Raw genomic sequence first — 18,141 nt, forward strand, 5'->3', positions numbered from 1 at the left:
TTTGCAGGAGTAAGGTGGTATTTCATTGTAGTTTTAACTTGCATTTCTCTGATAATTAGTGATGTGAGGCATTTTTTCACGTTTGTTGGCCATTTGTATATCTGCTTTTGAGAATTGTCTATTCACGTCTGTATTAGTCTGTTAATGCTGCTGATAAAGACATACCCAAGATTGGGTAATTTATAAAGAAAAAGGTTTAATGGATTCACAGTTCCACATGGCTGGGAATGCCTCACAATTATGGCAGAAGGTGGAAGGCACATCTTACATGGCAGCAGGAAAGAGAGAATGAGAGCCAAGCGATAGGGGAACCCCTTATAAAACCATCAGATCTCATGAGACTTATTTACTACCACAAAAATAGTATGTGGGAAACCATCCCCATGATTCAATTATCTCCCACCAGGTCCCTCCCACAACACGTAGAACTTATGGGAGCTACAATTCAAGATGAGATTTGGGTGGGGACCCAGGCAAACCATATCAATGTTTTTTACCCACTTTTTGATGGGGTTGTTTTGTTCTTGCTGATTTGTTTGAGTTTTGAGTTTCTTGTAGGTTCTGGATATTAGTCGTTTGTCAGATGCATAGTTTGCAAAGATTTTCTCCCACTCTGGTTTGTCTGTTTGCTGATTATTTCTTCTGCTGTGCAGAAGCTTTTTAGTTTAATTAGGTCCCATATATTTATTTATGTTGCATTTGCTTTTGTGTTCTTGGTCATGAACTCTTTGCCTAAGCCAAGGTCTAGAAGAGTTTTTCTGATGTTATCCTCTAGAATTTTTATAGTTTCAGGTCTTAGATTTAAGTCTCACATTCATCTTGAGTTGATTTTTGTGTAAAGTGAGAGATGAGGATCCAGTTTCGTTCTTCTACATGTGACTTTCCAATTATCCCAGTGCCATTTGTTGAATAGGGTGTCCTTTCCCCACTTTATGTTTTTGTTTGCTTTGCCAAAGATCAGTTTATGTAAGTATTGGCTTCATTTCTGGATTCTCTGTTCTCTTCCATTGTTCTACGTGCCTATTTTTATACCAGTACCATGCTATTTTGGTAACTACAGCCTTGTAGTATAGTTTGAAGTCTGGTAATGTGATACCTCCAGATTTGTTCTTTTTGCTTAGTATTGTTTTGGCTATGTGGGCTTTTTTGGGGGTTCCATGTGAATTTTAGAATTGTTTTTTCTAGTTCAGTGAAGAGTGATAATGATATTTTGATGGGAATTGCATTGAATCTGTAGATTGCTATTGGCAGTATGGTCATTTTTACAATACTGATTCTACCCATTCATGAGCATGAGTTTTCATTTGTTTGTGTTATCTTTGGTTTCTTTCAGCAGTGTTTTGTCATTTTCCTTGCAGGTATCTTTCACCTACTTGGTTAAGTATATTCCTAAGTATTTTATTTTTTATTTTTTGCAGCTATCGTAAAAGGGATTGAGTTCTTTATTTGATTCTCAGTTTGGTCACTGTTGGTGTACAGCAGTGCTACTGATTTGTGTACATTGATTTTGTATCCTGAAACTTTACTGAATTCATTCATCAGATCTAGTAGCTTTTTGGATGAGTTTTTAGGGTTTTCTAGGTATGCAGTCATATCATCAGTGAACAGCAACAGTTTGACTTCCTCTTTTCTAATTTAGATGGCTTTTATTTCTTTTTCTTGTCTGATTGCTCTGGCTAAGACTTCCTGTACTATATTGAATAGAAGTGGTGAAAGTGGGCATCCTTATCTTCTTCCAGTTCTTGAGGGAATGCTTTCAACTTTTCTCCCATTTAGTATGAAGCTGGCTGTGGGTTTGTCATAGATGGATTTTATTATCTTGAAATATGTCCCTTCTATGCTGATTATGCAGAGATCTTTAATCATAAAGGGATGCCATATTTTGTCAAATAACTTTTCTGTGTCTATTGAGATGATCATATGATTTTTGTTTTTAATTCTGTTTATGTAATGTATCACATTTATTGACTTGCATATGTTAAAGCATCCCTGAGTCCCTGGTATGAAATCCACTTGATCATGGTGGATTATATTTTTGATATGCTGTTGGATTCAGTTAGCTAGTATTTTGTTGAGGATTTTTGTGTCTATGTTCATCAGGGATATGTTTTCTTTTCTTGTTATGTCCTTTCCTGGTTTTGGCATTACATTTGGTGATACCAGCTTCATAGAATGATCTGGGAGGATTTCCTCTTTCTCTGTCTTTTGGAATAGTTCTGGTAGGATTGGTACCAATTCTTCTTTAAATGTCTGATAGAATTAGCTGTGAATGTATATGGCCCTGGACTTTTTTTTATTGTCAATTTTTTTATTACTGTTTCAATCTCGCTACATATTATTGGTCTGTTCAGAGTTTCTATTTCTTCCTGATTTCATCTAGGAGGGTTGTATTGATATATTTCCAGGAACTTATCCATCTCCTCTAGATTTTCTAGTTTGTGTGCATGAAGGTATTTGTAGTAGCCTTGAATGTTTGTATTTCTGTGGTATCAGTTGTGATATCTCCCATTTCATTTCTAATTGAGCTTCTTTGGATTCTCTCTCTTGTTTTCTTGGTTAATCTTGCTAATGGTCTATCAATTTTGTTTATCTTTTTGAAGAATCAGCTTTTTGTTTCATTTAACTTTTATATCTTTTTTTTGTCAGTTTCATTTAGTTCTACTCTGATCTTTGTTATTTTTTTTTTTCTTCTGCTGGGTTTGGGTTTGGTTTGCTTCTGTTTCTCTAGTTCCTTGAGATGTGACATTAGGTTGTCTATTTGGGGTCTTTCAGACTTTTTGATGTAGTCATTTAATGCTATGAAATTTCCTCTTAGCACTGCTTTTGTTGTATCCCAGAGGTTTTGATAAGTTGTCTCACTATTATCATTCAGTTCAAAGAATTTTTTAATTTCCATCTTGATTTCATTGTTGACCAAAGATTATTCAAGAGCAGATTGTTTAATATCTATATATTTGTATAGTTTTGAGGCTTCCTTTTGGAGTCAGGATACTTGATATGAATTTGGTTTTCTTAAATTTATTGAGACTTGTTTTGTGGCCTATCATATGGTCTATCTTAGAGAATGTTTCATGTGCTGATGAAAAGAGTGTATACTGCAATTGTTTGGTAGAATGTTCTGTAAATATATGTTAAGTCCATTAGTTCTAGTGTAGAGTTTAAGTCCATTGTTTCATTGTTGATTTTCCATCTTGATGACATGTCTAGTGCTGTCATTGTAGTATTAAAGTCCCCCACTATTATTGCATTGCCATCTATCTCATTTCTCAGGCCTGGTAGTAATTGTTTTATGAATTTTGGAGCTCCAGTATTCGGTGCATATGTATTTAGGATTGTGATATTTTCTTATTGGACTAATCCTTTCATCATTACATAATGTCCCTCTTGGTCTTTTTTAGTGTTGTTGCTTTAAAGTCTGTTTTGCTTGATATAAGAATAGCTACTCCTGCTCACTTTTAGTTTCCATTTGTGTGGAATATCTTTTTCCACCTCTTTACCTTAAGTTGATGTGATTCCTTTTGTGTTACGTGAGTCTCTTGAAGACAGCAGATACTTGGTTGGTGGTTTTTAATCCATTTTGCCATCATGCGTCTTTTAAGTGGAGCATTTAGGCCATTTACGTTCAAAGTTAGTATTGAGATGTGAGGTACTGTTCTATTCATTATGCTAGTTGTTGCCTAAATACTGTTTTGTTTTGTTTCATTTTGTTCTTGTTTTATAGGTCCTGTGAGATTTACGCTTTGATGAAGTTCTATTTTGGTGTATTTCAAGGTTTTGTTTCAAGATTTAGAACTCCCTTGAGCATTTCTTGTCAGGCTGGCTTGGTAGTGGCAATTTCTCTCAGCATTTGTTTGTCTGCAAAAGACTTTCTCTCTCTTTCATTTATGAAGCTTAGTTTTGCTGGATACAAAATTCTTGGCTAATTGTCTGCCAATTATTTTGTTTAAGGAGGCTAATGATGGGACCCTAATCCCTTCTGGCTTGTAAGATTTCTGCTGATAAACCAGCTGTTAATCTGATAGGTTTTCCTTAATAGGTTACCTGATGCTTTTTCCTCATTGCTCTTAAGATTCTTTTCTTTGTCTTGATTTTAGATAACCTGATGACTGTGTGCCTATGTGATGATCTTTTTGTGAATAATTTCACAGGAGTTCTTTGAGCTTCTTGTATTTCATTGTCTAGATCTCTGGCAAGGCCAGGGAAGTTTTCCCCAATTATTTCCTCAAATAAGTTTTCCAAACTAAAATTTTTCTTCTTCCTCAGAAACAGCAATTATTCTTAGGTTTGGCCATTTAACATAATCCCAAATTTCTTGGAGGAGGCTTTGTTCATTTTTTTTCTTTGTCTTTGTTGGATTGTGTTAATTTGAAAGCCTTGTCTTTGACCTCTGAAGTTTTTTTCTACTTGTTCTAGTCTATTGTTGAAACTTTCCACTGCATTTTTTATTTTCCTAAGCAAGTCTTTCATTTCCAGAAGTTATGATTGTTTTTTCCTTATGATATATATTTCTCTGGAAAATTTTTTATTGATGTCCTATATTTGTTTTAAGTTTCTTTAAGTTAGTTTTCAGCCAACTTACCTTTCTCTTGTATCTCCTTGAGTAGCACAATTCTGAATTCTTTATCTGGCAATTCAGAGATTTCGTCTTGGTTTGGATCCATTCCTAGGGAGTTAGTGTGACCTTTCATGGGTGTTATAGAACCCTGGTTTGTTTTATTACTAGAATTACTTTTCTGGTTTCTTCTCATTTGGGTAGACTATTTCTTAAAATTGTTCTTGAATTTATTTTTGCTTAAAATTTTTTTTAACTTAAATTTATTTATTCCCTCTTAAGGATTAGACTTTAATGTTTATTTTAGCCTAATTTAATTCTTGGTGCTTGTAGGGTTGAAGACTCAGTATGAGATCCTTAGTTACAGAAAGTTTTTTTGTGTGCTGGCTTTCCCTTATGCTGTTTGTAGTTGTTACATTCTTGGTGAGTGGGTGAGTTCACTGCCTCTTATGGAGTTGGAATGGCAGGTATCTCTTGAAGCTTATCTTGTTCTCTCATGGTGTACCCTTTATTTATTTATTTAACTTTTTTCCCACTGTTTTATTTACTGAGTTGACTTTAGGCCATTAGGAGAGGTATCCCTGGTTAGGCACTGGTTGTGGCTAAGGCAGGTGGGTAGATGTAATACCCAATGGTGGGCTGAGGTCCCAGCCTTGATGAAGTTGGCTGGAGGACCTCTCAATTAGATGTGCTGAGGTTTCATCAAGGTGAGGAGTGGGAGCTACCTCAGCTCTCCTGCCAGGTCAGCAGGAAAGCTACTCACCTCACAGCCTTATTCCTGTCCCAGTGTTCTGGCTATTCGGATAAGACAGGCACCTCTTTTCATCTATGGAAATGTTGATGTTCCAAGTAGGGAAGAATTGTGACTTTGCCTCTCATGCAGGCTTGAATCTGGAGTGTGTTCCTCCTGTGGGGCTGCACTCACCCTGGATTGTTCCAGAAAGGCTGTCTATAGGTGCCTCCATTCTTCTGGGGGAAGCCCAACTGTGTCTGCAGTAGAGTGCCAGGGGAAACAAGGACCCCTTCTTTAAGGTCCTACACAATCACAGGGGATGCCTGCCGTTTGGGGTAGAGGTACAGACTTTCCCTACTGTGCCCAGCACTGCAATTGTGTCTCTGCTATGAGAAACTTCCCACCACTGGAAAGATTTGGAACTCAAGGCCTGCTGTTCACATTCTTTTGTACCATAGGGTGATCCTTTGATGTAGTGCTCGCCCCCTTCCCTTAGAAATGGGACATCCTGAGAGCTGGACTGCAGTGATTGTTATTTCTCTTCTTAGTCTAACCACCCAGCAGGACTACCAGGCTCCAGGCTGGTGCTGGCAAATGTCTGCAAAAAGTCCTGTGATATGACCAGTCTTCAGGTCTCCCAGCTGTGGATACCAGTACTTGCTCTGGTGGAGGTGGCAGGGGAGTGAAGTAGACTCTATGAGAATCCTTGGGTTTAACGTGCCGGCTTTCTCAGATGCTGGTTATGCTAGCAGTGAAGTCGTCATGTGGACAGACTCAGGACCTCTGGTTAGCCAGGATGTTACAGGCAGCAGTATTAGCTGTTCTTTTCTTCTTCCTGGGATCAGGGTTATTCTGTCATGAGTTGCAGTAATGGCCTGAGTTGGTCTGCCTCCAGCCAGGAGGTGGTGTTTTCAAGAAGGCACCAGCTGCAGTAGTAACAGTGGGATTTAAGCTTGCACTAAATTGTCCAAGGGAGGTATTCTGGTTTCTCAGGCAATAGGTGGGTCCATAAAGCTCTCAAGAGTTTATGTCTTCTGTGTTCTGCTACCACGGCAGGTAGAGAAATACCATCAAGTGGGGGCAGGGATAGACTCTCCTTGGGCGGGTCAGACTCTCCTTGGGTAGGGCTTGCTGCAGCCACTGTGGGGGTTGGGGGGTGTGGTTCTCAGGCCAGTGAGGTTACCTTCCAAAGGGGATTATGGCTGCCTCTGCTGTGTCATATAGTTTATCAAGGAAGTGGGGGATACCTGGTAGCAAAAGGCCCCACCCAGCTCCCACGCAGTTGGCGAGGCCAGTCTCACTCCTGCAGTGCTCTGCTAATAGAGCCGAGTTTCCATCCAGGCAGCCTGTGCACAATGAACTCAGACCTGCCCCAGGCCATAGGCTTCCCTGCTGAGAAAGCAAGCACAGCTTTCAGGCCTCGCCCCTACCTGTCTGCCCACAGTGTTGGTAGCTCCTGCCCTCATATCTGCAGCAGTTTCCACTCACCCCCCAGATTCTGCTTAAGAAAGTTCACGCCCAGTGGCAATTATTATAAAATTCAGTTGGAAGCTTCTTTCACCCCATGACCCCTCCCTAATTCCACTGGCTGCCTTCCTGGAGGCGCTCTGTGAGATACAGTTATATACCTTCCCTGGGCTCAAGCTAGAGAAACTGGGAGTGCCTATAAGGCTTTTCCCATTGCTGCTACTATTGTATTTCACCCAGATCCCTGAATCCATTCCAGCTCTAATTTAGGTTAAATCCCTCTCCTGTGATCTGGATTTTCAGATTCCCTAGTGGAATTCAGAGGCAGGTGGTTCAGAGGCAGTGGGTTCAGAGGCAGGTTTTCTCTCCTCTCGCACTCTAGGAACTCAGTTTTTCACCCGTCTCTCAGAATTTGCAGTGGTGTGCCACTCCTTTCAAAGGATCTGTGAATTCTTTCGGTGTTCCTGGTAAGTTCCTATGGTGGTTCTTGGAACAAAAGTTCATGATGTGAGTCTCCACACACTATTCTGTCTGAGCAAGTGCAAGATGCACATTAGCCCTGTCTCCTATCTGCCATCTTCTGCCTGTCTCCTTGATAATAATATTTGATTTCATGTATAAACTGCCTGAAATTCCATGGTTTCATGTAGTCAAAAAATGTTTTTCCAAAATTAAAAGCTAAAATCATGTAGCAAAATGTAAAAATAAAATTTAATTTGAATGAGCTGACATTTTTTGGACCTTCAGAGAAAAAAAGAAATTAAGCAAACTTCCTAAAAGCTGTTCATTTCTTTCATCTTGTCTCATTTGCTGTTTGACCCAGTGCCATCTGGCATCCACATTCCTTGTTCTCCTCACACAGTCCTCTCCAGAGACACAAATTACCCCCTAGTCACCAGATTCTTCCTTGACCCTTATTCTGCTTGGTCTTTTCATTTTTGATAGGAAATGTCTGTTCAGTAAATGAACATTTGGTTTTATGATCTAGTTAATGTATGTTTTTATACTTCCTAAAAAAACATTGTGTTAATAAATAACATATAATGCTAACAATATTATAGACAGATTCCATTCTGCTCACAAAAAGAATACCACATTAATAAAGTTATTTCTGTCCTAGGGAAGACCAAGGCACATATTTGAAAATATTCACTAGAGCCTGAGATCATACTTAGGACTGGATGACTTGTGGGAGATGGAAGGGGTAGAGGAAAAAGGGCAGTTCCTACATAGCTGATTTCATAGGGTATAATGTTTTCTTACAGATACCATATGCATGCAAGTATAACAGGGTTTTGGGAGAACTTACCTGGGAGCAGCATAAATCAGAAGAAGACAGCATATGCATTTTAAGATTTGAGGGTTTTTTTTAATGTGTATAAAAATTTTGTTGATTTACTATTATTCCTCAAGTTATGTACCTTTTATTTCCCACTTTCATAACCAACTCAGAAATTTCTCATCCCTATAGGTAGCATCACTGTCCTTCCTGTCATGATGCTCACAGCCTCAGGACAACCTTTGGTCTTGCTCTTATTTATCACTTACCATCTCCTGTTGAATCTGTCCATTCTATCCCTGTAATCCATCATACCTCTTTCTTTTCCTAGTGCCACTACTCCCAGTTCAGAGTCACAAAAGGTTGTCCCTTTTGATATCACCCACTCGTTCATCTACTATTTATTGAGTTTCTTCTTTATCCCTTTGTCAGAGACCAGGGACACAAAGATGAATGGCTTCCTTGCCCTCAAGTAGTCAAGTCTAGTATGACATAGGCTTATCAACAAATATTCACAGTATATATTCCTAAAACTGTTTTGAAAAAAAGTCACTATATTATCTTCAGATAATGTGCTTTTATTATTCCCAGCTATAAATACTAGAAAAGTAAGCTAAATAACTAGCTGTGTTTTGCCTTTTTCTGGCTTATTTTACCCAAATTAACAGTGTAAGCTTAGATGTACCTTCAAAACCTAAACCTGCATTCTCTAATTTCTGTGTCATCCTTGATGCCTAGAGCTGTCATTGACAAGTGTCTGTTTTAGAACTAATACACTTCAAGAACAACATTCTGCTCACTGAGCAGTTCCATTATTTGTCATGAAAGAGCTGCACATTCAGATCTGTATTTGTATTTGTATCTGTATATACTTCCTAAATTCAGATTTAATGGTCTGACTTTCCTTCTGATGAACAGCAGCCAACCCATCATCCCCAGACAATGAATGGAAACAGTGGTTTTGTGGATCTTCTTCCTAAATCTGTTGAGGAAAGGACATTTTCAAAGTAAGGAGTGAGAAGGAAGATGAATTGTTTATGGGAGATCATGATATAAAAACCATGTTGTTCTGTTTTATTTCTAGCTACAAGAAAACACATGAAACCCTGAGTCACGCAGGGCAAAAGGCAACTGCAGCTTTCAGCAACGTTGGAACGGCCATCAGCAAGAAGTTCGGAGACATGAGGTACTGTGGGAAAATACCATGGGAACGGCGCTAAGCCCTTGGCTTTCCGATTGAAGGGAGCACTAGCTATTAGCTGCTCATCTCAACATATGTATTTTTTTATTTTAATGGATAAAAATGTTATATGGCTGATATGATTGATGACTAAGATAAATTTTCACACTGGGACATTTTCTGCCTGAAGGTCAGGCTTAGGTGGCCTGGTCCCAGAGTTGCTGTTTCTACTAGGACCCGACCTGGTAAAAATAGAAGATACAGGGTAGTGAGGCAGATTTGAAAAGAATGCAGCATGTGCAAATTCTTACTAGCTGTAATATAAATGATAAATTAAAACATGCATTTAGTGGAATGCACTCCCATAAACTATTCTAGATTGCATATTTGTATACATCCATCTAGTATATTTTTTCTGTGTTAAATAGGTACATATTTATCCTTTTATTCCATAAAGGTACCACACATATACACTTCTGGTAGTTTTCTTTCTTCATTTTCTAACTATTTTGTGAGTATGTTAAATATTTATTGCACCTTCATTTTTAATGAATTTATCTCCCAGTGCGTAGCTATAGCAATGCTTTTAGATAAGTAACCTTGCACATTTTCATTATTTTCAATATTTCACTGTTACATAAAATAAGGGTGACCATCAAGGTTGATTTTGACTTGAGAACCAAAAGTTCTCACTGGAGGCACCAGGAAAAAAAAAATGTAGTATTGCCCATAGTTTTTCATATTATATACAATATTATATACAATATATTATATACCATATTATATAGAGGTATTACTCTTAGTTTTTGCTTATTTAAATACCAGTCATAGTTTTATTTTGCATTTGGCTGATATGCCTTGGAGGATTTTTCTTTAGAAATCAGTTTCATTTTTCCCTCTATTCTTTAAAAACTTTTCGAGCACATTTTACATTTCTTCTTTAAAAAAAAAAAATCTCTGCGTATTTATTTTACTGGATTCTTAAACTGTTACTTTTTTATTAAAAAGAAAAAGCTTTGGGCTGGGCACAGTGGCTCATGCCTGTAATCCCGTCATTTTGGGAGACTGAGGCAGGTGGATCCCTTGAGGTCAGGAGTTAGAGACCAGCCTGACCAACATGGTGAGACCCTGTCTCCATTAAAAAATATATATATATACACAAAAATTAGCCAGGCATGGTTGTGTGTGCCTGTAGTCCCAGCTGCTGAGGAGGCTGAGGCAGGAGAATCACTTGAACCCAGGAGGCAGAGGTTGCAGTGAGCCCAGATCACGCCACTGCACTCCAGCCTAGGCAATAGAGTGAGACTCTGTCTCAAAAAAAAAAAAAAAAAAAGAAGGAAAAGCTTTGACACTGAGAGGCAAATATCTTCCTAACTTTACACTTATAGATACATCTTTATAAATTATATTATTAAATTTTATTTACTTCAAAAATTGCTGGACTGTCCACAATATTCATTCACTATTTTAACAACTAGGCATTCACAAGGACATGTGCATGAATCTGAGTACATTGTTTTATCTTCATTTTTACTAATGCCACAATAATAAAAAGTAATTGAAATTCTTCAGAAGCAGGTGTGATAAACAGGTAAACCTTCTGGATTATTAATTACCCCTAATTTTATTACAAATAAAATTTGTAATAATTTTAACGGCGTTATAACATTTATCTAAACTAATTAAATAATCCTTTAAAATAGGAAACCCTCTATAACCTGTTATACCCAAGAAAACATATTTTCCCATGTTTATAAAATTGATTCTCTTCATACTGTGTTGAAATCTTTCACTTGAACCCTGGGAACTCCAGCATGACACTGCTAACTAGAATAGTGCTTCTGCATCTTTAGGAGATCTTACAAACACCTCTGAAGCTTGTTTAGAATACATATTCTTAGGTTGCACCTCTCAGAGGTTGTGCTCAGTAAGTCTGAGGTGGAGTCTAGGAATCTGCATTTATAACAAGCTTCCAGATAATTTGGCTTCAGAGGGTCAGTTTATGAGGAAGACAGACATAGCTTAGCTCACCTGTATCTGGGGTTTTCACTAATAAAATGGAGATAAGAATAACAATGTCACTGGACTGTTATAAAAGTAGCAGAAGAAAGTCTGACATGTATTATGCACTCAAAAAATTGCAGTTTTTTATCTTTAAGTGACCAGCTCAGTTACAAGATGGCCCCACATGGTAGAAATTAGGGAGAGTACATTAACAGGAGCCCACTGTATTTCATAAAGGCCCTGCTCATTGTTTTTCCCAATAGTGAAGAATGAAGACTGTGTTTCACATATGCAATATGTTGGCATTCATATTCAAACACTAATTGGGTACAATGTCAAGGTTGTATTGACTGCCTTTCCTCCCGTTTCAATGTGGCTTTGTCTAGTATAGTGGATGGCCTATTTTCCAGGACTTCCAAACTTTCCATTTGTTATTATCCCATGTAGAGGGTACAACATTTTCATTATAAACTGTGGCTAAAAATATTGGAAAATACAATCTGTGTTGCTAGATAATCAAATACAATCCTGAAATATTTTGAAGAGTTTGAAAATTTCAGAGCTTTATTTATATAATATTTTATGTGTATATTTCTCTCAAACTATATCTAACATTTGTATATAAATGAGAATAACTCTTTGTGAAAGCAACAAGTTTTACAAAGATTTTTACTTTTAAATTATGCCCAAACAAGTAATATAAATAAAAGTCATTTTGAAAGTGTTTAAACTTAATAAAAGACCTTAAATGGGAAAAAATAGTAAGCTTTGATTGTTTGTTCAAAAACTAATGTGCCAATTTGTAAATATGGGGAATATGTTAAAATTTGGTCACAGACCTTTTATTTTAAACTTCTTTTTGGTTAAAAGTGTCATATTAGTCTACATTTTTATTAGTTACACTATAACATTTTTGTGCATTCTGGTAACAAATTTCTGAATGTATTCAAAAACATTACCAGCAAAATTCAGATAGCTTGGAAGAACAACAGTACCTCTCAGTTTTTCTTTAAAATAACTCCAAATTAATATTTACAGATTTTGTAAAACCTAGAATTTGGGCCTTTTAATAGCTGAAAAAAAAGCTTTATGTTAAGATTTAATTTGTATGTTTTGTAAAAATAAGTTATATTTTTCTGAGCTAAGTAAGATTCTCATTTTAACCTGATTGTCATGGAATTGCCCACTCTCTTTCTCCATCCATAAAATAACATTGTTAATACCCACTTAACCAAAATATTTCCTGTGAAGTTAAAATGAGGTCACACTTAGGAAAGTACTCAGAAGAAATCCAAGCGGTTGGAATCATTTTTCTAATAACATTGGCATCTTCTGGGAACTTCTCAGTTAATTTGTTCAAACTGATCCACTGGGGACAAAATGTTTGGAGAAGGCATGTCATTTTATTACAGTCCAATCATTGTTATATACTTATAGGAATAACAGAAGCAAAACTTGAGTTGGTAAAATGATTTGTCAGAGACATTAAAAAGTCAGTGTAATCAAGAGTGGTAAATGAAGCTACCCTGTCTGTGCTCTGGGGCCCTTGAAAGGGGACCACCAAGGGCAGTGCAGTGTTTCTCTGCCTCCTGTTTGCTAACTCTGCTCCTGCTCTTCTCTCCTGTGCTTCCGGGCTGCAGGTCTCACTCCATCGGGTAAGCGCCACAGGGCTGCGTGTGGGGCTTTCCCCACTCCCTTGCTGCCCCTTTGCTTTCCAGGGCTCCCTGTTTCTTTCACACTGTGCCTGAACCAACAAAACTACACTCTGTTTTCCAGACAGTTCCCGTGACCAGGAAGATAGTTTATAGGGCACTTAATACATTTGAACTTATTGAAGTACATCTCTATCTCATTTCTGAATCATTTACACCATTTCACTTGCTGAGCTCTCTCTCAGGAGTCTCTTTCTCTGCACCATTTCTTCCGGTGTTGACAGAGCTTCTTAGAATTGAAAAGAAGAAGAAAAAAAAACAAAGTGGAGATTGAAAGTTATATATGTTTTCTGAAACTTCTAGAAAGTAAAGTTGAGAAACAAAAACAGATTTTCTCTAGATTGTCATGTTTCTCTGAATTTCTTGTACCCATAATTTGTGTTGATGTTTCACCTTCAACTTTCTGTGCCTTCTGAAGTTGAAGGGAAGAAAGGTACCGGAAAAGCACGTACGTATGTTAAGAAGTTTGTGATTTTTAATCCCAAGCCCCCGAATTAAAACTTCTTTTAGCCGGAATCTTATTATATACTTTTATTTTTTTAATTTTTTCCTAAGAAAGCGGTCTATATTTACAGAGATACACCAATTGGTAATGCAGATGAGGCTCTTTTAGTGATGCTTTTGAAGTGTAATTTCTGAGGAAATATCTGCCTAATAGTTTCTAAATCAAGTGTCTAGGGTAAGACCGTAAGTATCCCATGAATTTGTTTGTCCTTTTCTTTCTGTGTTCTAGCAAAGTGCTACCCATACTAATGCCCTCAGTGGATATTATGAGGGAAGGGTGACAGATTTGGTCCCTGAACTATTAGCTCCTTGAGAGAAGAGAAAGCAGGGACGCTGTTGAAAAGTGTGAGGTGGGAGCAAGCACTAGGCCAGGAAAATGGACCCATTGTGCTCCTCCCCATGCCCAGCCTGATTTCTGAGTGGAACTCAATAGAAAGTAACAGGCAACCAACCAGAGGGAAGATGAATCAGCTACTAGGATTAATGGGATGAGAAGTTTAAATCTCTTAAAATTCTCAGGAATGTTTGTGTTTGTACCAGATGTTCTTGACAGTCATCTAGTACAAATCAATCATCTTGACAATCAAACCAGAATGGATGCAGAAGTCCCTATGGCCTATGAGAACTGTGTTTGCCTGGCATGTGCTTCCTTGAAAGTCTTATGTTAACTTCTTGCTTTCCTCTGGCCAGTTTCTCTACCATGGAATGATTAGCTTCTACCTGCCTGGCTCTATTTCCTGGATACTGCCTTTTGCTCCTTACTGTTTTCCTGAGCAGAAGGGAGTAGAGACCTAAGTTGGGCCTGGAGAAGATGCCCATGGGCTACTGGGCTCACCTGGGAGAAACCAGACATTCTCAGATTTCCTGGCAAAAGGAGGCTGCAGAAAGTAAAATAATATGCAACCACGGATCCACCATCTACTTTTCATTTATACCCTTGAAAGCTGACTATACCCATTATACCCAACAAAAACAAATGTCATCTTGGTTAGATGGGCAGGGAATATTTCAGATATTTGGAATTGCTGTTTTAGAACTACGAATAGGGAGTTTTTCATGTACTTATGTGTGCTCTCTTCTTTTTTCTTTTTTCCCCTTTAATCTGCTTTTGCTCTGAAGTTACTCCATTCGCCATTCCATAAGTATGCCTGCTATGAGGTAATGTGTGTAAAATATTTTATGTAATATTAATATGAAATGTGTTTAAGGTGTTATTTTATTTATATTTACTTATGGGGTTCCTCTGCTTTATGTGAAAGGAAATTGCTGATGGTCTTCAAAAGAAAAGGCTGACAATTCTGTGGAAGAATTGCGTAGCTTGGGCTTTTGACCAGACATCCTGGCTTAAATCTAGTCTTTCCTGTGTGATCCAAGACAAGTGACTTAACCTCAATTCTTTTATCCATATATTGCAAGAAATAAGACCTACTTCATATGGTGTTTGTGAGGCATAAACAAAGGAACCTACATAAAGCATTTAGCACAGTGTCTGAACATGCCAAGCAATCTTGCAAAGGTAAACTTGGGTTTCTTATTTCCGCAGAATTAAATGCTAGCCTGGGGGCAAGTTTAAATGCAAGGCTAAAGTTCTAGAGAGGATATCATTAGGATTTTTAAGGTGGATATTAAGGTGAGATGTTTGTTAAATAATAAAATGTCAGTATAATTACTGACCAGATAAAAACTGGTGAGAAAGACATTCTTAACTTCAAGTTTGCATGGCATAGTGATGCAATCAGATAAAATTAAACTAATAGCAAGACAGGAATGAGTGTTAAATTGAAAATCAGAAAATGCAGGCTCTAGCCCAGCTCTGCCAAGGATTAACTTTGCACTCTTGGGAAAATCACCTCAATGGTATCAGCTTCATCATATTTAAAATAAGAGGCTAGAACCAGATTAGCTGCTTGTCAAAGATGCCCCTCCACCCACCGAGCCCTAAGGCTGCCTAGAGATGAAGCCTTTGGGATCTTCCCCCACTTCAGTCAGAGCTATGCCTCTTCTACCTGCTTTATATTGATGTTGTTGTTTGAAGGCATTATAGAAGGAGTTTAGTTACTTTCAATAGTTTGAGACCGCCGAAGCCAAATTCTTCATATATATAATCTTTTCCTCTGTTTTTTAACTGTCATGAAGAGAAATTCTTCCTAGGGTCATTTGCAGTGCTAAAAAAGTTTGTACATCTGATTAAATCTTATTAAAGTTGTACATCTGATTAAATCTGATTAAAGAGCTTCTCCCTGTTCTCCAGCATGTATTCTAGTATAATTTAATTAGATAAATGTCTGTTCTATTATATTTTATGAAGGAAGGCTCTTCTACACTGGGGTTATGTGGTTAATTGGTTGATTTGGAAATTCACCCTCAGTATTTAGTTCTCTGTATTTGGTGGTAAACAGAGAGTACAGATTCAAGATTGCTTAATTCATCTTTGAATGGCTTGCTCTCCCTAGAATAAGAATGCCCCAGTTGGGTAGTGGAACCTAAGGCTCTGTTCCCCTTTACTTGTCAAATTTTAAATCTGGGTGTCAGAAGAAGGCTAGTAAAAATTAACATGGTTTTCCCCTGTGAACCAGGAATTCATCTAGTAGTGGCTAATGGGTCAAATGTAGTCTGCATGAGCTTGCCTGAAACTAACTTAAAAAAAAATTATTTTGCTTGTCTAACATATACCCATGAACCATTTCCTCACTGTGGGCCTGTGTAACTGATGGATGACAGGCAGTCATGTGTGCAGGCTTGGCCAAATAAAACCTGCAATGGAAATGAAGTGCCAATAACTATATACTTTTTGAGTCATGCAAGTATAATTTTACTAACATTTCATCATGAAACAGCATTACGGAGGATCACTCATAGGAATTTGACTCGTGTTTGAGTCGTACACAAAATGTGATGCCATGTCAGGGCCCTCTGAATTCACCATTGTTAATCTGTACAGCCTGAATGCAGGTACATTTCTGACCATGTGGAGCACCAAGGACTCAGGAGACAATCCCCAAATTCACTCATAAACATCTATGTTCATTGCCTTTTAGTAGTATAAAAGTGATACTTCATTCTGCACCACATAATGAAACCTATATTCTATAGCTGTTCTCCTTTATAAAGTTTTTCTAGGCCATTCCTCTTATTTTACTTTTTTTTTTTTGCACTCAAGAGAGAATAACAAGTGCCTTATTAATTCAACATTTAGTTGAATTATTTGATCTGAAAATGATGGCAGTTGTTGCTGCTGAAAGCTGACATGGATACAAGATTTAAAATACACTTAGTTCAGTTCCTGTTTCTTTAGTAGGAGCTGGTGGTATTTTTAATGGTGGTGATGTCATTAAATTATAATATCATGGGGCCAAATCCAATACAGAAAACCAGAAAGCACCAAATGAAGTTTTTAGTGCTTAAAGCAACAAAATTATGTATAGATTATTTAATACAATGAATGAGTCACAAATAAAATGCCATTAGGGGCCAGGCACGGTGGCTCACGCCTGTAATCCCAGCACTTTTGGAGGCCGAGGCAGGTGGACCACCTGAGGTCAGAATTCGAGACCAGCCTGGCCAACATGGTGAAACCCCATCTCTACTAAAAATTCAAAAAAAATAGCTGGATGTGGTGGTGGGCACCTGCAGTCCCAGCTACTCAGGAGGCTGAGGCAGGAGAATCGCTTGAACCTGGGAGGCAGAGGTTGCAGTGAGTCAAGATCAGTTCACTGTATTCCAGCCTGGGTGACAGAACGAGACTATCAAAAAAAAGAAAAAAAAAGCCATTAGGCTGCAAAGGTTCTATTTGGTAAGAGAACAAGTAGGTATATCTATTTGAGAGGAAAAATAACGCATGCTAATAACCTCCATTTTGATTGGGCATTAGGTAGGTAATGGGTATGTTTCATCTTAAAATAATGAAAGCATTAACTTTCCAAAACACCACTTCATGTAAGTTGTCAAAATGATTATTTTTTTAAGGCATGGAAAAGAAAAAATATATGAACATTTTTTTCCTTGCACTATTTCTGAATTGTCTCACATTTGCTGAAATAAATAACTTTAAAAAATGCCAAGTGGCAAAACTCAAACATGACATTCATCATATGGATTTTCCATTGCTTACTAAAAAACCTGAGTCAGGAAGAGGAGTGTTGTGATAGAAACAATAAATGCTAAATGAAAACTTAAGCTACCCATTGCTCCACTGGCTCATTGGAAATGATTTACAGTGTACCATGGAATTATTACAGTTGTGTCATTGCCAAATACCATATTATTTACTGTATTGTGTACTGATCATTTTACCTAGAAAAATTCCATGTCAGGTTATGGTTTCTGAACCTAACCTAACAGAAGTGACATACATTTTAAAACGTGGTTGGTGCAGGTGGCAAGCTGACAGGTAGCTCTGTGGCAGAGGCCGTGTTTACAGATATGAGCAGAAAACCAAACAGCATGGTTGCTAAGACAGCTAGGCCTTTGGAGCTGACCTCTCTCTTTTTGTTATTTTAGGAATTCTCCTACTTTCAAATCATTTGAGGAGAGGGTTGAGACAACTGTCACAAGCCTCAAGGTACAGATGAAGTGAATTCTGTGTGAGTGGGTCCATTGACTCAGGACAGCTTAGCCATTGCTGCGGTTAGTTTAAAGTCGAGGCAGGGCCAAGAAGGCAGGCTTGCATCAAGTCAGACCTTTTCTTTCACATATAAATCTATGAATAAA

At 37.7% G+C, this 18,141-nt stretch overlaps 1 protein-coding gene across 12 annotated transcripts in view, besides 1 other annotated feature; it reads left to right on the top strand.

Annotated features, from left to right (window-relative positions):
- TPD52L1 (TPD52 like 1) overlaps positions 1 to 18,141 on the top strand; it is a 110,635-nt gene that overhangs the window by 85,394 nt on the left and 7,100 nt on the right. For 3 of the 12 annotated variants that reach the window (NM_003287.4, NM_001003395.3, XM_047419286.1), the window contains exons 4-6: positions 9,116 to 9,217; positions 14,551 to 14,589; positions 17,932 to 17,992. In NM_003287.4, the coding sequence (NP_003278.1) occupies positions 9,116 to 9,217; positions 14,551 to 14,589; positions 17,932 to 17,992 (202 nt within the window). Of the gene's footprint in view, positions 1 to 9,115; positions 9,218 to 12,855; positions 13,444 to 14,550; positions 14,590 to 17,931; positions 17,993 to 18,141 lie in introns of those variants that run through there. The other 9 variants (NM_001003397.3, NM_001292026.3, NM_001318907.2 and 6 more) reach the window with 5 other exon arrangements.
- Positions 1,524 to 1,724: a silencer, noted in NCBI's record as "peak6105 fragment used in MPRA reporter construct". NCBI's record gives its function as "represses an SCP1 promoter by STARR-seq MPRAs in K562 erythroleukemia cells {active_cell/tissue: K562}" and the evidence as "EXISTENCE:reporter gene assay evidence [ECO:0000049][PMID:32103011]".

The sequence above is a fragment of the Homo sapiens genome, chromosome 6 (assembly GCF_000001405.40).
Source record: "Homo sapiens chromosome 6, GRCh38.p14 Primary Assembly".
Classification (NCBI taxonomy): Eukaryota; Metazoa; Chordata; class Mammalia; order Primates; family Hominidae; genus Homo; species Homo sapiens.